Genomic DNA, 23,093 nt, shown 5'->3' with positions numbered 1-23,093 from the left:
GAATAACTAGTGGGTTAATGAAAAAAAGTAAGAAGGAAATTTAAAAATTTCTTGAAACAAATGAAAATGGAAACACAACACAATAAAATCTATGGGATACAGTGAAAGCAGTATTGAGTATCTACATCAAAAAAAGTAGAAAAACCTCAAATAAACAACCTAATGATGCATCTTAAAGAACTAGAAATGCAAGAGTGAAGCAAACCCAAAATTAGTAGAAATAAAGAAATAATAAAGATCAGGGCAGAAATAAATGAAATTGAAATGAAGAAAATGCAAATGCAAAAGATCAATGAAACTAAAATAAATGAAATGGAAATGAAGGAAATACAAAAGATCAATGAAACTAAAAGTCATTTTGTTGAAAAGATAAACAAAATTGGCAAGTCTTTAGCCTGACTAAAAAAGAAAAAAATAGAGAAGACCCAAATAAATAAAGTCAGAGATGAAAAAGGAGACATTACAATTGATATCAACAAATTAAAAGGATCATTAGAGGCTACTATGAGCAGCTATATGCCAATAAATTGGAAAACCTAGAAGTGGATACATTCCTAAACACATACAATCTACCAAGATTGAACCATGAAGAAATCCAAAACCTTAATAGACCAGTAACAAGTAACAGGATGCCATGACAAAAAGTCTCTGAGCAAAGAAAAGCCTGGGACTCAATGGCTTCCCTGTTGAATTTTACCAAACATTTAAAGAACTAATACCAATCCTACTCAAACTATTCTGGAAAATAGAGGATGAGGGAATACTTCCAAACTCATTCAACAAGGCCAGTATTACCCTGACACCCAAACCAGACAAAGTCATATCAAAAAAAAAAAAAAAAAAAAAAAAAACCAAAAGTACAGGCCAACATCTGTGATGAATACTGATGCAAAAATTCTCAGCAAAATGTTAGCAAAACAAATTCAACAACACATTGAAAACATCATTTATCATAACCAAGTGGGATTTATCCCAAGGATGCAAGTATGATTCAGCATATGCAAATCAGTGTGATACATCATATCAACAGAGTGAAGGACAAAAGCCACACAATCATTTCCATTGATGCTGAAGAGGTATTTGATAAAATTCCACATCCCTTCATGATTTAGAAAAACCCTCAAAAAACTGGGTATAGAAGGAAGATACCTCAACATAATAAAAGCCATATATGACAGACCCACAGTTAGTATCATACAGAATGGGCAAAAATTGAAATCCTTTACTCTAAGATCTGGAACAAGACAAGGATGCTCACTTTTACCACTGTTATTCAACATAGTACTGGAAGTCCTAGCTAGAGCAATTGGACAAGATAAATAAATAAAGGCATCTGAATTGGAAAGGAAGACGTCAAATTATCCTTGTTTGCAGATATGATCTTATATTTGGAAAAACCTAAAACTCCACCAAAAAGCTATTAGAACTGATCAACACATTCAGTAAAGTTGCAGGACACAAAATCAACACACAAAAATCATTTGCATTTCTGTATGCCAACAATGAACAACCTGAAAAAGAAATCAAGAAAGTAATCTCATTTACAATAGCTATAAATAAAATAAAATACCTAGGAATAAATGTGAAGAAGTGAACGATCTCTACAATGAAAACTCTAAAGCACTGATGCAAGAAATTGAAGAGGATACAAAAAAATGGAAAGATATTCCATGTTAATGCATTGAAAGAACCAACATCGCTAAAATGTCCATACTACCCAAAGTAATCTACAGATTCAATGCAATTCCTATAAAAATATTAGACATTTTTCACAGAAATAGAATAAATAATTCTAATGTTTATATGGAACCACAAAATACCCAGAATAGCAAAAGTCAACCAGAGCAAAAAGAACAAAACTGGAGAAATCACATTACCTGACTTCAAATTATACTACAGAGATATGGTAACCACAACAGCATGGTACTGGCATGAAAACACACATAGAACAATGGAACAGAATGAAGAACCCAAGAATAAATCTACATATCTACACTAAGCTCATTTTTGACAAAAGTGCCAAGAACATTCACTGGGGAAAGGACAGTCTCCTCAGTAAATCATGCTGGGAAAATGGTATATCCATATGCAGAAGAATGAAACCAGACCCTTCTGTTTTTCACCATATACAAAATGGATTAAAGAGGCCGGGTGTGGTGGCTCATGCCTGTAATCCCAACACTTTAGGAGGCCAAGGCAGGCAGATCACCTGAACTCATGAGTTCAAGGCCAGCCTGGACAACATGGCAAAACCCCATCTAAAACAAACAAACAAAAAAAACCCCAAAAAACAGCTGGGCATGGTGTATGTGCCTGTAGTCCCAGGAACTGGGGAGACTGAGGTGGGAGGATGGCTTGAGCCTGGGAGATAGAGGTTGCAGTGAACTGAGATCATGGTACTGTACTGCAGACAGGGCGATAAAGCCAGACCTTGTCTCACAAAAAAAAGGGGGTGGGGATTAAATACTTAAATCTAAGATCTCAAACTGTGAAACTACTAAAAGAAAATACTGAGGAAATTCTCCAGAACATTGGACTTGGAAAATATTTCTTGAGTAATACTCCACAAGCACAGGCAACCTAAGCAAAAATGGGCAAATGGGATCACATCAAGTTAAAAAGCTTCTGTACAGCAAAAGAAACAATCACCAAAATGAAGCAACAATCCACAGAATGGGAGAAAATATTTGCAAACACCCATTTGACAAGGGATTAATAACCAGAATATGTAAGGAGCCCAAATAACACAGTAGGAAAAAATATAATAATCTAATTAAAAAATGGGCAAAAGATCTGATAGACATCTTTCAAAGAAGATCTACAAAAGGCAAACAGGTATATGAAAACGTGCTCAACATCATTGATCATCAGAGAAATGCAACTCAAAACTCAATGAGATTGTCACACACGTCCATGTGAAGAGACCACCAAACAGGCTTTGTGTGAGCAACAAGGTTGTTTATTTCATCTGGATGCAGGCAGGCTGAGTCCAAAAAATGAGTCAGCAAAGGGTGGTGGGATTATCATTAGTTCTTACAGGTTTGGGATAGGCATAAAAAGTACATTCTCAAGGGCGGGGAGAATATTACAAAGTACCTTCTTAAGGGCAGGGGAGAATATAGCGTATCAGTTAGGGTGGGGCAGGAACAAATCACAATGGTGGAATGTCATCAGTTAAGGCTATTTTCACTTCTTTTGTGGATCTTCAGTTGCTTCAGGCCATCTGGATGTATATGTGCAGGTCACAGGGGACATGATGGCTTAGCTTGGGCTCAGAGGCCTGACATTCCTGTCTTCTTATATTAATAAGAAAAACAAAACAAAATAGTGGTGAAGTGTTGGGGTGGCGAAAATTTTGGGGGGTAGTATGGAGAGATAATGGGCGATGTTTCTCAGGGATGCTTAGAGTGGGATTAGGGGCAGCATGGGAACCTAGAGTGGGAGAGATTAAACTGAAGAAAGATTTTGGGGTAAGGGGTGATATTGTGGGGTTGTTAGAAGTAGGATTTGTTGCACAGAATGATTGGTGATGGACTGTATGTGTTTTGTATGAATTGAGAAGCTAAATGGAAGACACAAGGTCCGAATAAAAGAAGGAGAAAAATAGGTATTAAAGAACTAAGAATTGGGAGTACCCAGGACATCCAATTAGACAGTGTCCAAGGGGGATCAACGCAATTATTTGCTTGGTTAGTGAGTTTTTGGGCTCTATCCTTGAGTTTTTTTATGTTGTCATATACCAGGCCAGACTGATTTAGGTAAAAACAACACTGTTCATTTAAAAATATACAGAGTCCCCCTTTTTTTAGCAGTGAGTAAGTCGGGGCCTCATTGATTTTGGAGGAAAGAGAAATGTAAAGCCAGCAATTGTTTGTTAAAGAAGGATTAGAAACAGCTAGGAGAGAGTGAGTGAGATTGATAGTGTGGTGGAGATAGCTGCGAAGAGGTAGAGAGGGTGGCATAAGAACGGGAACAAGAATAAGAGTGAGTATAAAAGTAAAGAACAGGACTTCATAAGGGTGAGAGTATTGGAGTGTGTCCTGTCAGCAAAGATCATCTACCCACTCCAAGAGGGAGTCAAGAGTGGTGGATTGGGGATAGATTTTCACAATGGAAAGGAAATGAGAGTTTTTAAGAGGCGGGCTAATGGCTTGTAACCTACATGGAAGAGGTTATGAAATGACGACAGGAATAGAATGGGCTAGTGAGGCTTGAAGGAGATTTTTTTTTTGTCTAAAAACCATCTGCCTTGAGTGGAGAGGGATTGATAGGTGGAAACTTCAGTGGGACAGTAAATAGGAGTGACCAATGAGGAGAAAAACTGGCCATCAGGGACAGAAGTTGGAAAACTAGCTGCCTCTTTAGCTACCTTATCAGCATAAGAGTTGCCCTGAGCAATGGGATCTGATGCCTTTTGATGGCCCTTGCAGCGAATGACTCCAGCTTCCTTTGAAAGTAAAGCAGCTTTAAGAAGAGGTTTTATTAAGGACACATTAATAATGGAGGACTCTTGTGTAGTGAGGAAATTTCTTTCTGCCCATGTAACAGCATGGTGGTGCAGGATATGGAAGGCATATTTAGAGTCAGTATAAATATTGACGCGTAGTCCCTTTGCAAGAGTGAGGGCCTGAGTTAAGGCAATGAGTTCGCCTTGCTGAGAGGGAGTGGAGCAGGGCAGAGCAGTAGCCTCAATGATAGATGTGGAAGATACTATAGCATAGCCTGCCTTTGCTGATGAGTGGTGATTAGGCCTGGTGGAACTGCCATCAATAAACCAAGTGTGATCAGGGTGAGGAATAGGAAAGAAGGAAAGATGGGGAAATGGAATAAATGTCAGGTGGATCAGAGAGATAGAGTCATGGGGGTCAGGTGTGGTATCCAGAATAATGTGGGAGGCTGGATTGAAGTCTGGGCCAGGAACAATGGTAACTGTGGGAGACTCAACAAAGAGTGAGTATAGCCAAAGGAGCCGGAGGGCAGAAAGTATATGCATCAGGTGGGAGGAAGAAAATAGATTTTGGAAGTTATGAGAACTGTACGGAGTGAGTTGAGCATAGTTTGTGATTTTGAGGGCCTCTAAAATATTAAAGCAGTGGCAGCCGCTGCACGCAGACATGAGGGCTAGGCTAAAACAGTAAGGTCAAGTTGTTTGGACAGAAAGACTACAGGGCGTGGTTCCAGCTCTTGTGTAAGAATTCCGACCACACAGTCCTGTACTTCAGCTGTGTGTAATGAAAAGGGTTGGGATGAGTTTTTTAAGGAATGGAAAGAGGAGTGGGGAAAGGATTTAGGATCTATGGGGTCAGCTACATTTATCTAGAACAGAATAATGGGTTGTGGAGGGAGGTATTGAGGATAGGAGAGTATATGGGTTTGGCATCACGGTGTGGATAGGCAAGACAATTTGGTTGATAAGGTGCAGATCCTGAACTAACCTGTAAGACTTTTCCGGGTTTTGGACAGGTAAAATGGAGGAATTGCAAGGAGAGTTTATAGGCTTTAGAAGGCCATGCTGTAGCAGGCCAGTGATAACAGGCTTTAATCCTTTTAAAGTGTGCTGTGGGATGGGATACTGGTGTTGAGCGGGGTAAGGGTGATTAGGTTTTAATGGAATGGTAAGGGGTGCATGATCGGTCACCAAGGAGGGAGTAGAGGTGTCCTATACTTGTGGATTAAGGTAGGGAGACACAAGGGGATGATGCGAAGGAGGATTTAAACTGGGGAAAAGGGCAGCAATGAGGTGTGGCTATAGCCCAGGAATAGTCAGGGAAGCAGACAATTTAGTTAAAATGCCTCACCTAATAAGGGAACTGGGCAGGTGGGGATAACTAAAAAGGAGTGCATAAAAGAATGTTGTCCAAGTTGGCACCAGAGTTGGGGAGCTTTAAGAGGTTTAGAAGCCTGGTCGTCAATAGCCACAACAGTTATGGAGGCAAGGGAAACAGGCCCTCGAAAAGAAGGTAATGTGGAGTGGGTAGCCTCCGTATTGATTAAGAAGGGGATGGGCTTACCCTCCAATGTAAGAGTTACCCAAAGCGTCTGTGATGGTCCAGAATGCTCCCGAGGCACCTCATAAATATATACACCTACTATGACCCAGAAAAACTAAAAATAAAAAAAGCTAAAAAAATCAAGGGTCTCACTAACAGGCTCATTTTAACTAAAAGGGGGCAGCAAGGTGGACTTTTGAGCTAAGCAGTGTTGTGGTCAAATACTGAGTGAGTCACTTAACCTTCTCCCTTCGCTTCTGATCCAGCACAGTGGCGCCTAGGACTATGCATGGGACACGAGGGGTTACTCAATCAGTGATGTAGAGACAGCTGGCTAAGTCTTATACAAACTCAAGTTCTGTTCATACCGCACTCTGTAAGCCAAAATAGTTTCAAATGGATCAAAGATTTAAATACGAAGAAACTACACAAGTTTTAGAATAAACTGAAATCTTTCTAAAGTCTTAGACTATTTAAAAGTTTTAGAATAAACTGAAAACTGCAAGTTTTAGAATAAACTGAAAATATAAAATGAAATTTACAAAAGTTTTAGAATAATGGGTGAATTTATTAGACTCTTGAAATGGAGCATCCTAAGGAAAACTCAAACTTTATAAAGCAAATGATTGAGAAATCTGACCTCAGAAAAAAGATGAAACATCACTGGGTGAAAACACCTTTGAAAGTTTTTTAAAAAATGACAAGCTATGAAGGAAATGTTGCAGGCAATTTGACAGAGAGCTTATTTTCTTAATTTACAAAGCACTCGGAGGAACTCAGTAAGATAGATTAAAAGCTCAATGGCAAAATGGGCAAATGGATAGTTCACAGGAAAAAAACTAAAATGGCAAATAAAGGAATGCAAATTCTGAAAATTATAAGATATTATTTTCTTCTATCAGATTGAAAAGAAAATAGAGTGTGAAAATATCCAATACTGGCGAGAGTGTAGGGAAAGGGACATCGTTGAGTGTTCTTGATGGGAAGGTAAGTGGGTGTAAGGTACATGGATGTGCTTTGGTCAAGAATAGGTTAGCCAGGTGCGGTGGCTCACGCCTGCAATCCTAACACTTTGGGAGGCTGAGGCGGGTGGATCACCAGAGGTCAGGTGTTTGAGACCAGCCTGGCCAACATGGTGAAACCCCATCTCTACTATAAATACAAAAAAAAAAAAAAAATAGCTGGGTGTGGTGGCTCGGGAGGCTGAGGCAGGAGAATCGCTTGAACCTGGGAGGCGGAGGTTACAGTAAGCCGAGATTGCACCATTGCACTCCAGCCTGGGCGACAGAGCGAAACTCCGTCTCAAAAAACAAAAACAAAAACAAAAACAAAACAGGCAGAGGCAAACATCAGGGCCAGCGTGACTCAGGGAGTCTGGCGCGCAGGCGCATAACTCCACTTGTTATGTAATCTGTTTGTGTAAGTGGCTCAGAGCCACTATTGTCTGTAAAAGGTATAACTGCCCTGCTGACGCTGTACATGTGGTTCGGCATGGCTTGTGCCCAGAGGCAGAGAGTAAAACTGCTGACCCCATAAGGGAGAGCCAGGCTTGTAGGCCAGGGAATGCAGCTGTAAGCCTGGGAATGGCAAGAGCCGCAAAGCTGGAGCAGGCAGCCGAGATAAAGGTGAATTGTATGAGAAAGCTTCTGATGAAACTATCACAAGGACAGAAAACCAAACACCGAATGTTCTCACTCATAGGTAGGAATCGAACAATGAGAACACTTGGACACAGGGTGGGGAACATCACACACCGGGGCCTGTCAAGGGGTGGGGGGCTGGGGGAGGGATAGCATTAGGAGAAATACCTAGTGTAAATGACGAGCTGATGGGTGCAGCAAACCAACATGGCACATATATACCTATGTAACAAACCTGCACATTGTACACATGTACCCTAGAACTTAAAGTATATAAAAAAAACTGCTGATGAAAAAGCTGCTGAATAAAACCATATTTTACCTGCCTACAGCCCCCTAAATATTCCTTCCGCTATTCGCCACCCATCCACCCACTCCCCTCAGACCTCAACATGGGCTGGAACCTGACGCTTGGCATGACAGTGGGCAAGAGCTTTTTGAAGGAAAATTTGTCAAGATCTATTAAAAAAAAGTCAATTCATGGACCTTTTGACTAATGCTCCACTATTGGAAATTTCTCCTAAAGATATACTCAGATAGGCCAGGCGTGGTGGCTCACGCCTGTAATCCCAGCACTTTGGGAGGCTGAAGTGGGCAGATCACGAGGTCAGGAGATCGAGACCAGCCTGGCCAACACGGTGAAACCCCATCTCTACTAAAAATACAAAAATTAGCTGGGTGTGGTGGTGCACGCCTGTAGTCCCAGCTACTTGGGAGGCTGAGGCAGAAGAATCGCTTGAACCCGGGAGACAGAGGTTGCAGTGAGCCAAGATCACACCACTGCACTCCAGCCTGGGCAACAGAGCAAGACTCTGTCTCAAAAAAAAAAAAAAAAAAAAAAAAAAAAGATATACTCAGATATATACCAAGATACAGGTACAAAAATACAAAAACATGGTCTGGGATGACATAACAATGTGTGCATCTGTGCATGTGTATACACACGCAGTCATACATGGGGCCTTGTATGACACACAGATACATCGGCATGCATTGTGCACCTACAGCTCCAGTCCCTCCCCCAGCGCCTGACTCATACAGCCAATAGGGGGCTTGTCATCTTTATTTGAGCATCTGTACGCCCAACAGAGTCCCTGTTTCCTCTCCCCAATTCCACCCCAAAACTGCTGCTCTCTTAGTCTTTCCATTTCCGTAAAGGGACCCACCTTTACTGCCCTCCCAATTGCTCAAGTGAAAACCGTAGAAGTCACCTGCAATTTTTATTCCTTTCTTTTCACTCCCTCCCACATCCAATCCTTCAGCCTGTTGGGTTGGCTCTACGGCCAGAATGCATTCTGAGCTTGTCCACCTTCTCCAATGGCCACATCCACCACCCCATTCCAAGGTGCCATTGTGTGACTCCCTTGCTTGAAATTTTTCAGAGTTTCCACTTAGGACAAAATCCACACATTTGCGTATTAACCCTTCCCTGATCTGACCACTGCCTGCCTCTGCCTTTCTGCGTCTGCCTCCCACCAAGCTCCCCACATTGTCTACTCTGTACTCATCTGGCCGGCACCCTAAGCCTGGGACACACTAGCCTTGTTCCCCCTTAGAGCCTTTGCCTGAGCTGTTTCCTCTGCCAGGAATGCTCTCACTCTATATTATTGTGTGGCTGGCTCCTTCTCAAGTCTCAGCTCAAATGTCAGGAAGTCCCTCCATGACCTCCCTATGCAAGCAGCCCTTCCTGCCTCTCATCACTCTCAGCTGTACACAATTCAGATCTTCACACAGCAGTTCTGTGATGATCTGAACGAAGCTTGCTTTTGTTTTGTTTGTTCTGTCTACTGCCCACTAAGATACAAGGACCAGACAGAAGGGGCCTCATTTATCTTCTTCACTGCTATGTCTCTGCTGTATAGCTCCATGGTATATAGTAGGTATTCAATAAAAGTCATCAAGTAAATGAGTAAATAACGGAATGAATTAAAACTGTGGAATCACATATAAAAGAATGAGGTAGATTTGTGTGTACTTGTATAACAAGGTCTCTAGGACATATGCAAAAGTGAGGTATGAAGAATTATGAGCCCCTCCCCCCACTTTTTTTGGAGATGGAGTCTTGCTGTGTCGCCCATGCTGGAGTGCAGTGGCGCGATCTTGACTCGCTGCAACCTCTGCCTCCTGAGCTCAAGCGATTCTCCTTCCTCAGCCTCCCAAGTAGCTGGGATTACAGGTGTGTGTCACCACACTTGGCTAATTTTGTATTTTTAGTAGAGACAGGGTTTCACCAAGTTGGCCAGGCTGGTCTTGAACTCCTGACCTCAGGTGATCCGCCTGCCTCGGCCTCCCAAAGTGCTGGGATTACAAATGTGAACCACTGCGCCTGGATTAGCCCTTTTGAAAATAATTTTGAAATAATAATAAGTTTTCTGAAAGCTGTGTAAGAAATGGCTAACAGTAGTCACTTTTGTGGAATGGTACTAGGGGTAGGGTAGGAGGAAGGAGACTTTTTTGTTAATTTTATAACTTCCTGTACTGTTTTAATTTTCTGTCCATTGCACATGGGTTTAAAATTTTTTTTTTTTTTTGTCCTGAGATGGAGTCTTGCTCTGTCACCCAGGTTGGAGTGCAATGGCGCGATCTCGGCTCACTGCAACCTCTGCCTCCCAGGTGCAAGCAATTCTCCTGCCTCAGCCTCCCCAGTAGCTGGGATTATGGGAGCTTGCCACCGCGCCTGGCTAATTAAATAATTTTTACTTTTCTTTTTGTGTGTGTGTTAAGAGACATCATCTGGATATGGAACGATACACACTTTTCTGAATTAATGTTATTCTTTTTGTTGTTATTGTTGATTGTTTGTTTTTGAGATGGAGTCTCGCTCTGTCACCCAGGCTGGAGTGCAGCGGCATGATCTTGGCTCACTGCAACCTCCGCCTCCTGGGCTCAAGCGATTCTCCTGCCTCAGCCTCACGAGTAGCTGGGATTACAGGCATGCACCACCATGCCTGGCTAACTTTTTGTATTTTTAGTAGAGACGGGGTTTCACCATGTTGTCCAGGCTGGTCTCAAACTCCTGGCCTCAAGTGATCTGCCTGCCTTGGCCTCTCAAAGTGCCAGGATTACAGACGTGAGCCACAGAACCCGGCCAGAATTAATGGTATTTATTTAAAAGCAATGAGAACTATTTATTTGTAATTGGCAGAAGTTTAAATCATTTTTTTAAAGGCACCATTCCCAATGTTGGCCATGGGATATGCTGAAGGATATTTCCATACCAGGCTGATAGGAGAATAAATTGCACCCAAATCCTATCGAATATACTACCCCTGGGCCGAGACATTTCTAAGAGTGTATCCTAAAGAAATAATTATGTGCAAGAATGGTCACATAATTGGTTATAATAGCAAGAAACTAGAAACATCCTAAATCCCCAACAGTAAAGATATGGTTAAATAAATTACATTACATCCATAAAAGGAACATGATACAAATTTTAAGAGTATATGTTATTTGAACCCATATTTTATAAGGAAAAAATGTAGATATATGAACATTGTTATTTTCTTCTTTTTGTCTGTATTTTCTAACTTTTTTTTTTACAACAAATAGATCTTTTTTCTGTAGTTAATATAAAAAAAATTTTTTTTTTTTTTTTGAGATCGAGTCCAGTGTGTCACCCAGGCTGGAGTGCAGTGGTGTGATCTTGGCTCACTGCAACCTCCGTCTCCTGGGTTCAAACAATTCTCCTGCCTCAGCCTCCTGAGTAGCTGGGATTATAGGCATGCGCCACCACGCCTGGCTAATTTTTGTATTCTTAGTAGAGGCAGGGTTTCACCACGTTGGCCAGGCTGGTCTCGAACTCCGGACCTCAGGTGATCTGCCTGCCTCAGACTCCCAAAGTGCTGGGATTATAGGCGTGAGCCACCACGCCTGGCCTAAAAAAAAACTTTTAATGGCTTCTAAATTGTTTGCAAAATGAAATTGAAGCCTGTCAGTGAAGCTGATGTTCTGTGAGCTGGCCTCTCCCTCCGCCCTCACTTCCCACCACTCGAGGCCTCCCCTTTCTGCTCCAACAGGAAGGAGTGGCCAGCTCTTCCTCCCCAGGCCCTGCCTCATCCAAACCTCTTGCCATGCACTTTGCTTTAGAGGCACCCGGCTTGCTTATCTTGTAAGACTCCATCCACCATCCAAGAGCCATTTTCAGGAAGCTACACAGGTGCCTACTTGCCCTCCACCACAGTGGGATGTGCCTGTCCTGCCTGCTCCCAGGACTCCTTGACTTTCTCTATCATTGTAACTCAGGACATTTTGTAGTAACATTTTGACACTTAATGTTATCAGGCTCCCCAACTGGTCTCCAAGCTCCTTCTAGACTGTGTCCCCATATAGGAAAAATATCATACATATTCGTTACTGGATGGATGGATGGATGGATGAATGGATGACTTGGTTCTTCTTCTAACCACTATTCCTGGTCCTGGCTTCCTGATAGTAACCACATGATTAGTTGGGTCCACGTACCTCTGATTCAAAATGTCTAAATAGGTTATTTATTCATAAATTTTTAAAAAATCAGAATGGGGTCAGGTGCAGTGACTCACACCTGTAATCCCAGCAATTTGGGAGGCTGAGGTGGGAGTTACTTAAACCCAAGAGATCAAGACCAGCCTGGGCAACATAGTGAGACCCTGTCTCTACAAAACAAAACAAAACAAAACAAAACAAAACAAAACAAAACCACACATACATACACAAAGCAAAAGCAAAAAAATTAGCTGGGCATGGTGGTATGTGCCTGTAGTCCCAGCTACTTGGGAGGCTGAGGTGGGAGAATTGCTTGAGCCTAGGAGGTTGTGGTTGCAGTGAGCTATGATTGCACCACTACACTCAAGCTTGAGCAAGAGAGTGAAAACCTGTCTCAAAAAATAAAAATAAAAATTTTTAAGTTGAAAAAAATCAGAATGGGAATTAGTTGAGAAGATTCAAAGCAACATTCTACATAAATTCCATATAAGACTGCCAAATAAAGAGGTAGACATTAGATTCTCCTAAGGGAAATGTGAAATCCAGAGGCTAAGGAGAAAGTTCCAGTTGACACCGTGTTGATTATGGAGTTTCAGCTCTCTCGTCATGAAGCTCCCCCTCCTCCCCTCACACTCCAAGGTTTTCCTGAGGCTCTGAGAGGCCAGCTACAGTCTCAGTGGGGATGAAGCTGCTTCTACTTCGTTTGTGATGGGAGTGAAAATGGCCCCAAAATCCCATTTCCCAGAGCTCTTTCTCTGACACTTGTAGAGAATCTTATGCAGAACTTTCTCCTGACCCCATGTCCTTTGGGTCAGCTGATGGCCTGTGAGATTGATAATCTAGCAAGTTTGGACATTCGTGACACTCTTGCTAACCCAGGTACGGAATGCTTAGAGAGGGAGTTTTCTGATCCTGTTCTGCTTCTGTGGAAGGCAGAGCAGCTTAGCCCATTGATATTCTGCAGGTGACTTTGATCTTGAATTCAGTTAATTGTGTGTCAGGTGATTACCCACACCTGTCAGTCAAAGCGCCCTGCTCCTTCCTCATAACCCATCATCCCTTTTGTTTCCTGGCATTCCAGATTCTTCCACTGCACACATTAACTCACAGACAGATGCCAGCATCGTGCTTCACCATATATATATATATATATATTTTTTTTTTCCTGAGATAGAGTCTCACTCTGTTGCCCAGGCTGGAGTGCAATGGTGCAATCTCAGCTCACTAAAACCTCTGCCTCCCAGGTTCACACGATTCTCCTGCCTCAGCCTCCCAAGTAGCTGGGATTATAGGCACGCACCACCCCAGCTAATTTTTGTATTTTCAGTAGAGACAGGGTTTCGCATATTGGCTGGGCTGGTCTTGAACTCCTGACCTCAAGTGATCCACCCACATTGGCCTCCCAAAGTGCTGGGATTACAGGCATGAGCCACTGCATCTGGGTGGTACGGCTGCCACCCTTACAGATTGTTCTATTATGTTATTACTGAACACTTGCCACCACAGCTTGCATAGGCGGCTGAGGTCACTCGGTCACCTGGTCAACAGCAGGCACATCTGCTGTTGGGTTTTACTAGGAAAAGAGTGGCTAGTTATGCTTTAATAATTTATTAAGAAGGTCATTGTGCTTTATAGAATGGCTTAACAAGCCAGGCGCGGTGGCTCACACCTGTAATCCCAGCGCTTTGGGAGGCCGAGGTGGGCGGATCACAAGGTCAGGAGATCAAGACCATCCTGGCTAACACGATGAAACCCCGTCTCTACTAAAAATACAAAAATTAGCCGGGTGTGGTGGCGGGCGCCTGTAGTCCCAGCTACTCGGGAGGCTGAGGCAGGAGAATGGCGTGAACCGGGGAGGCAGAGTGCAGTGAGCCGAGACCGTGCCACTGCACTCTAGCCTGGGTGACAGAGCGAGACTCCATCTCAAAAAAAAAAAAAAAAAAAAAAAAGAATGGCTTAACAATTACGGAGAAGAGAGAAAAAAAGAAGACAGGAAAGAAAGAGGAAGGGAGGAAGAAAGGGAGGTAATTCATATACAGAGAGAATACTTTGGGATCAAGGACTCTACTCAATTCTTTCCTGTAACTCTCAACACTCCTGGAAGGTAGAACCTGCTGTTCCCATTTCCCACTTTCCTTACCAGACACATAGGAACCCAGAGCTTGCCCTCAGCCTGGGCTTCAGGAGTAGGTCCCGGGCTCCAATGCACCATGTGGCCAGATTTGCAGAATGTAGGTCAAAGGGGAGAGTCCAAAGGTCAAATTCAAAGGACCCGAGAACAGGAGCAAAGGAAAGAATCGACAGCAAAGAAATTTTGGACAATGAGGATGCAGGTCAGGGGTGCTTAGAAAGAGTCCCAGAGGTGACGAAACAGCATGAGGATGCCCAGGGAGAGAATGGCAGGGCCTTTTGTTAAGGGCTTGCATCAGCTGGGTGTAGTGGGTCACACTGCGGTCCCAGCCAGTCAGGAGGCTGAGGAGGGAGATTTGCTTGAGACCAGGAGGTTAAGCCCAACTGGGACCACATGGTGAGACCCTGTCTGTATAAATAAATAAGAGTGGCCAGGTGCGGTGGCTTACATCTGTAATCCCAGCACTTTGGGAGGCCCAGGTGAGTGAATCACCTGAGGTCAGGGGATTGAGACCAGCCTGGGCAACATGGCGAAACCCCATCTTTACTAAAATACAAAAATTAGCCAGGTGTGGTGGCAGGTGCCTGTAATCCCAGCTACTTGGGAGGCTGAGGCAGGAGAATCATTTGAACCCGGGAGGCAGAGGTTGCAGTGAGCCTAGATCGCACCACTGCACTCCAACCTCAGTGACTGAGACTCCCTCTCAAAATAGAAATAAATAAATAAGAGCTTGCTTCAGAGCCTGGTGAGGGTGAACGCACTGGAGGGGCACTGGACCATTGCTGGAACAAATGAAGAAACTGAGACCCAGATGGCCTTGAATGGCAGCCCCAGACCATGTAGGTCACAAGGGCAGAGGTGGGATTTAAGGCCTGTTCTATCTGACCCCAAACCCATGACACCAACCACAGGTGGGGTGGCTGCCCTTGCCTTTGACACACTGCAGTCGGGGTGGGAAAATCTAGGAATTGGGAAGGGACAATTGGATATGAAATAAAGAAACTCAAAGTTAGAGAGGAGTTGAGTTTTCTTGTTTTGTTTGTTTGTTTGTTTTTTGAGACAGAGTCTTGCTCTGTCACCTAGGCTGGGGTGCAATGGCGCGATCTTGGCTCACTGCAACCTCCGCCTCCCAGGTTCAAGCGATTCTCCTGCCTCAGCCTCCCAAGTAGCTGGGATTACAGGTGTCCGCCACCACACCCGGCTAATTTTTGTATTTTTAGTAGAGACGGGGTTTCGCCATGTTGGCCAGGCTGCTCTTGAACTCCTGACCTCAAGTGATCCGCCTGCCTTGGCCTCCCAAAATGCTGGGATAACAGACGTGAGCCACCGTGCCCGGCCAAGGAGTTGAGTTTTCTTTCGGCACAAAACATCCAAGGACTGGGCGTGCAGAGGGGCTGGAAAGCCATGCAGGAGTTTTCTGTCTGTTCCCCTGTTTCAAGCCCTCCCGCTTCTCAGCTGCATTGACCCAGAAAGTACAGAATTCCTTTGGCGTTGACAGACCAACCCCAACGAATTCAACAGGCTTGGGAATCCAGGCATGTGTGATTCCCCGCATGGCCACAGGGTGGAGATACGTGGCTATCAAATCTCTATGTTTGGTTCCCAGGCAGAGTCAGGTCTACAAACCAGGGCTGGTGTTTGCCCAAACAGTAAACTTTAAAAACAAAGAAACATAATTGTGAGGTCATTTTCTAAACTGTGGATAATTCAGCCCTGAGTCATCTTTCTAAAAGGCTTGGGCTAATTAGAAAATGTCTTTCACCTCCTTGGACCAATTGTGAACATATTGATGATTAACCTAACATTATTTAATCCTCCGAATATCTATCATGTTGGCATTGGACATGCCAAGTGAGGCGCTGTATTTTGAAGGTGAACTTGGATTGTAAAACAAAGACAAGGCACAACTACGGGAAGGCTTCACCAGCTACTTTCAGAAAACACCGGAGTGGCACCTTTGTGTACCCGGCACATGCAGACAAAGACAGTGTCAGCAACCTGTTCTCAGATGGTTCTGGGGAAAAACGCATAGATAGAAACAGAGTAACAAAAAAGTGGCAAATTAAAAAAAAAAAAGGGTAAATCTGGGAAAATGACATACGGGAGGTCTTTGTACCTTTTCCACAATTTTTCCTTAAGTTTGAAATTGTTTCAAAATACAAGGTTTTTTTTTTCATTGTTGTTGTTTTTAATGCTAAGATCCAGAATTCCTAGATTCAAGGTTCAGATATTATCACCCAATGGAGTGGCATTTGTCATTTCAAGTAGCCTCTCTGGCCCGTGGCTCTTCTGTAAAATAAAGAAGGTGGCCAGGCATGGTGGCTCATGCCTATAATCCCAGCACTTTGGGAGATCGAGGCAAGAGGATCACTTGAGGCCAGAAGTTCGAGACCAGCCTGGCCAACATGGCGAAACCCTGTCTCTACTAAAAGTACAAAAAAATTAGCCGGGCATGGTGGCATGTACCTGTAATCCCAGTTACTGGAGAGGCTGAGGCAGAAGAATCACTTGAACCTGGGAAGCAGAGATTGTAGTGAGCCAAGATTGCACCACTGGACTCCAGCCTGGGTGACAGAGCAAGACCCTGTCTCAAATAAAATAAAATGAAATAAAATAAAAAAAGGCAATCTGTTGTCACTGCTGCAAAGCATTCTGTTGTGTGAATAAACCCCTCAGCTCACCCATTCCCTGAAAAAAACAAAAAGAATAAAGTGGAATGTTCTCTCTGCATGTGAATTACCTTCCTTTCTTCCTCTCTGTCTTTCTTTCCTTCTTTCTTTCTTCTCAGTAATTGTTAAGCTGTTCTATAAAGCACCATGGCCTTTTAAATAAATTATAAGAGGAGGCTGGGAGTGGCGGTTCATGCCTGTAATCCCAGCACTTTGGGAGGCTGAGGCGGGTGGGTCACCTGAGGTCAGCAGTTTGAGGCCAGCCTGGCCAACATGGTGAAACCTTGTCTCTACTAAAAATACAAAAATTAGTTGGGCATGGAGGCATGTGCCTGTAATCTCAGCTACTCTGGAGGCTGAGATGGGAGAATCGCTTGAACCCAGGAGGCAGAGGCTGCAGTGAGCCGAGATCGTGTCATTGTACTCTAGCCTGGGTGGCAGAGCAAGACTCCATCTCAAAAAAAAAAAAATTAAAATTAAAAAAGAGAAGCATAACTAGTCACTCTTTTCCTGGTAAAACCCAACAGCTCATGTGGCTGATCACAGAATGTTGAGGTGACCGAGTGACCTCAGCTGCCTATGCAAGCTGTTGTGGCAAGTGTTTAGTAATAACATATTAGAACCATCTGTAAAACACTGGAGTGGCCCCTTTCTGTACCCGGCTCATGCAGACAGAGACAGTCTGGCTGTACCAACCAGACTCGTAACTGTTTAACAGGTAAAGCACGACGCTGGCATCTGTCTGTTAGTTAATGTGTGTGGTGAATGAGTCTAGAATGCCAGTGAATAGAAAGGAGCAGGGAGCTTGGATTTACAGGGGTCCGTAATCTCCTAAGGCTCAATTAACTGAATTCAAGATCAAAGTCACCTTTGATATTTGAATAATCAATAATCAATTTGATTAAATATTACATAATCAATTTGGATAACTGATATTTGAAATAATATTTTTATTTATTCACCCCAATATTTATTTACCCCCAAAATATTATCAGGCTGGGTGCAGTGGCTCATGCCTGTAATCTTAACCTGTTGGGAAGCCGAGAGGGGAGGATGTCTTGAGCCCAGTAGTTTGACCAGTGTGGGCAAAAAAGTGAGAGTCCATCTCTAGAAAAAATCAAAAAAATTAGCCAGGCCTGGTGGCATGCGCCTGTGGTCCCAGCTACTTGGGAGGCTGAGGCAGACGGATCACATAAGTCTAGGAGTTTGAAGGGGCAGTGAGCCATGATCATGCTGCTGCACTCCTCCCTGGGACTATGTCTCAAAAAAAAAATGTATATGCACACACACACACACACACACACACACACACAAAGTCCTTCAGTCCAATAGGTACTCATTGTGTTATCAATGAGATAGTTGACATCCTGTCGTTTGCAGTAAGTCGTAGATTCAAAGCCCATTTCAGTTTGGACTGGCCGGTCCCGAGGGCTCCATGCTCACCTGTGGTTGCTGTACTGGGCAGCAGTGTCTCCTGCAGATTCTCTTGGCAACTCCAGGTCGGCCCAGCCCTGGGTCCCACCAGCTCGCGCTCTCTCCCCTCCCCATCTCCGCTTCAGGCCACCCCTTTTCTAGTCTGAGACGGGACAGTTTCCTCTGGCTCCTCATTATTTCCTCAAATCTATGGCTACTCAGGAGGCTGAGGTGGAAGGATCTATTGAGCTTGGGAGGCAGAGGTTGCACATGCCTGTGATCCCAGCTACTAGGGAGGCTGAGGCAGGAAAATCGCTTGAACCCAGGAGGTGGAGGTTGTAGTGGGCTGAGATCGTGCCATTGCACTCCAGCCTGGGTAAAAAGAGTGAAACTCCATCTCAAAAAAAAAATCAATACATTCAATACACTCCTAATAAAAAGGAATTTTTTTGAGGAACATAATAAGCTTATTTTAAAATGCATTCAATGGAATAAAGGTCTACAAATAGCTAATTCAACCTTTCTAAACTTTTACACTCTGCTTCCCTTATAAAACTGATGCCTTTAACAGTGCCCAAATCATCTCTTGAATGCTTTGCTGCTTAGAAGTTTCTTCCGCCGGATACCCTAAATCATCTCTCTCAAGTTCAAAGCTCCACAAATCTCTAGGGCAGGGGCAAAATGCCACCAGTCTCTTTGCTAAAACATAACAACAGTCACCTTTACTACAGTTCCCAACAAGCTAATTCAGCCCGGCTATTTTGTATTTTTAGTAGAGATGGGGTTTCTCTATGTTGGTCAGGCTGGTCTTGAACTCCCTACCTCAGGTGATCCGCCCATCTCGACCTCCCAAAGTGCTGGGATTACAGGTGTGAGCCACCGCACCCGGTCAAATATATTGATTAATTTGGGAAGACTCGACATCTTGGTGTCATTAAGTCACCTGAAGTAAGAGCCTAAAAGATCTCTCCATTTATTCAGATCATCTTCTGTAACCTTTATTGGAATTTTATTGTTCTCTCCATAGAGGTCTTATATAGTCTTGGTGATATGGTTTGGCTCTGTGTCCCCACCCAAATCTCACCTTGTGGCTCCCATAATTCCCATGTGTTGTGGGAGGGACCCAGTGGGAGATGACTGAATCCTGGGGGCGGGTCTTTCCCATGCTGTTCTTGTGATAGTGAATGGGTCTCATGAGATCTGATGGTTTTAAAAATAGGAGTTTCTCTGCACAAGCTCTCTCTTTGCCTGCTGCCATCCACACAAGATGTGACTTGCTCCTGCTTTGCCTTCTGCCATGATTGTCAGGCCTCCCCAGCCACGTGGAACTGTAAGTCTGTTAAACCTCTTTCTTTTGTAAATTGCCCAGTTTCAGGTATGTCTTTATCAGCATCGTGACAATGGACCAATGTAGTAAATTGGTACCAGTAGAGTGGGGTGCTGCTGTAGATACCTGAAAATGTGGAAGTGACTTTGGAACTGGGTAACAGGCAGGGGTTGGAACAGTTTGGAGGGCTCAGAAGAAGACAGGAAAATATGGGTAAGTTTGGAACTTGCTAGAGACTTGTTGAATGGCTTTGATCAAAATGCTGATAATGATATGGACAATGAAATCCAGGCTGAGGTGGACTCAGATTGAGATGAAGAACTTGTTGGGAACTGTAGTAAAGGTGACTGTTGTTATGTTTTAGCAAAGAGACTGGTGGCATTTTGCCCCTGCCCTAGAGATTTGTGGAGCTTTGAACTTGAGAGAGATGATTTAGGGTATCCGGCGGAAGAAACTTCTAAGCAGCAAAGCATTCAAGAGATGATTTGGGCACTGTTAAAGGCATTCAGTTTTATAAGGGAAGCAGAGTGTAAAAGTTTAGAAAATTTATGGCCTGACAATGTGATAGAAAAGAAAATCCCATTTTCTGAGGAGAAATTCAAGCTGGCTGCAGAAATTTGCCTAAGTAACGAGGAGCCAAATGTGAATCCCCAAGACAATGGGGAAAATGTCTCCAGGGCATGTCAGACGTCTTCATGGCAGCCCCTCCCATCACAGGCTTGGAGGCCTAGGAGGAAAAAGTGGTTTTGTGGGCCAGGCCCAGGGTTCCCCTGCTCTGTGCAGCCTAGGGACTTGGTGCCCTGCATCCCAGCCGCTCCAGCCATGGCTAAAAGGGGCCAACATAGAGCTTGGGCTGTGGCTTCAGAGGGTGCAAGCTCCAAGCCTTGGCAGCTTCCATGTGGTGTTGAGCCTGCAAGTGCACAGAAGTCAAGAATTGGGGTTTGGGAACCTCCACCTGGATTTCAGAGGATGTATGGAAATGCCTGGATGTCCAGGCAGAAGGTTGCTGCAGGGGTAGGGCCCTCATGGAGAACCTCCGCTAGGGCAGTGTGGAAGGGAAATGTGGGGTTAGAGACCCCACACAGGGTCCCTACTGGGGCACTGCCTAGTAGAGCTGTGAGTAGAGGGCCACCATCCTCCAGACCCCAGAATGGTAAATCCACTGACAGCCAGCACTGTGCACCTGGAAAAGCTGCAGACACTCAACGCCAGCCCATGAAAGCAGCTGGGAGGGAGGCTGTACGCTGCAAAGCTACAGGGGCAGAGCTGTCCAAGACCATGGGAACCCATCTCTTGCATCAGCGTGACCTGATATGAGACATGGAGTCAAAGGAGATCATTTTGGAAATTTAAGATTTGACTGTCCTACTGGATTTTAGACTTCCATCAGACCTGTAGGCCCTTTGTTTTGGCCAATGTATCCCATTTGGAATGGCTGTGTTCACCGAATGGCTGTGTTCACCTAATGCCTATACCCCCATTGTATCTAGGAAGTAACTAAACTTCTTTTGATTTTACAAGCTCATAGGTGAAAGGGACTTGCCTAGTCTCAGATGAGATGTTGGACTGTGGACTTTTGAGTTAATACTGAAATGAGTTAAGACTTTGGGCGACTGTTGGGAAGGCATGATTGGTTTTGAAACGTGAAGATAGGAGATTTGGGAGAGGTCAGGAGTGAAATGATATGGTTTGGCTCTGTGTCCACACCCAAATCTCATCTTGTAGCTCCCATAATTCCAACTTGTTTTGGGAGATGACTGAATCACAGGGGCAGGTCTTTCCCATGCTGTTCTTCTGATAGTGAATGGGTCTTATGAGATCTGATGGTTTTAAAAATGGAAGTTTCTCTGCAGAAGCTCTCTCTTTGCCTGCCACCATTGATGTAAGATGTGACTTGCTCCTCCTTGCCTTCTGCCATGATTTTGAGGCCTCCCCAGCCAGGTGGAACTGTGAGTCCAGTTAAACATCTTTCTTTTGTAAATTGCCCAGTCTTGGGTATGTCTTTATCAGCAGCATGAAAACAAACTAATACACTTGGTAAAAATTAATACGTCAGTTTTGGGTGTAGAGGGATAACTAGTAAGGTGGAAATTAAAGATTGCTATTTCAAGCTGGGCATGGTGGCTCACACCTGTAATCCCCACACTTTGGGAGGCTGAGGCAGGAGGATCACTTGAGTGCAGGAGTTCAAGACCAACTGGGCAACCTAGTGAGACCTCATCTCTACAGAAAAAAATAAACAAAGTTAGCCGGGCATGGTGGCCTGAGCCTGTAGTCCTAGCTACTCCAGAGGCTGAGGTGGGAGAATTGCTTCAGCCTAGGAGGTGGAGGCTGCAGTGAGCTGTAACCAAGCCACTGCACTCTCAGTGCACTCTGCCTGAGTGACAGAGCAAGATCTGTCTCAAAAAATAAATACATAAATAAAAAGATTGCTATTTCTTTTTTTTTCCTTTTTATTTATTTATTTTTGAGATGGGGTCTTGCTCTGTTGCCCAGGCTGGAATGCAATGGCATGATCTCGGCTCACTGCCACCTCCACCTCCCAGGTTCAAGCAATTCTCCTGCTTCAGCCTCCCAAGTAGCTGAGATTACAGGTGCATGCCACTGCGCCCAGCTAATTTTTGTATTTTTAGTAGAGATGGGGTTTCACCATGTTGGCCAGGCTGGTGTCAAACTCTTGACCTCGAATGACCCACCCACCTCAGCTTCCCAAAGTGCTGGGATTCAGCGTGAGCAACCATGCCTGGCCAAAGATTGCTATTTAAAGTTGCCATATGCTTGGCAATATCTATCAAAATTACAAGTGCACGGACTTTGAATTTCTCCAACTTTACCCTTCAGCTGTCTATGAAAATGTGCAAAATGGCATGTGTATGTCATGGTACAAACAATGGAATGTTATGGGATGTTCTGCAGCATTTATAGAAGAAGGTAAAATAATCTCCAAGATGGTTGTGACATGAAAATACTACTGTGCAGGAATGGTGGGAATGGGGAGGATATCCCCACATATGGGAATGGGGAGGAGCATATACATATAGGCCGTATATACATGGATATATGTGCAAATGATTAACTATCTCAGGGGAGAAACACAAGAAACTATTAACCTTGTTTATCTCTGGATGCCTGGTGACAGAAATAAAGGGACCAACTTTTCACTGTATATTCTCCTGTAAATTTTGAGTGTGGGCAGGGCATGGTAGCTCATGCCTATAATCCCAGCACTTTCGGAGGCTGAAGTGGGTGGATTGCTTGAACTCAGGAGTTCAAGAGCAGCCTGGGCCACATGATGAAACCCTGTCTCTACAAAAAATTAGCCAGGTGTGGTGGCGCATGCCTGTAGTTCCAGCTACTCAGGAGGCTGAGGCAGGAGAACTGCCTGAACCCAGGAGTTCGAGGCTGCAGTGAGCAATAATTGTGCCATTGTACTCTAGCCTGGGCAACAGATGAAGA

The sequence above is a fragment of the Homo sapiens genome, chromosome 17 (assembly GCF_000001405.40).
Source record: "Homo sapiens chromosome 17, GRCh38.p14 Primary Assembly".
Taxonomy (NCBI): domain Eukaryota; kingdom Metazoa; phylum Chordata; class Mammalia; order Primates; family Hominidae; genus Homo; species Homo sapiens.
This window is presented reverse-complemented; position numbering follows the sequence as displayed.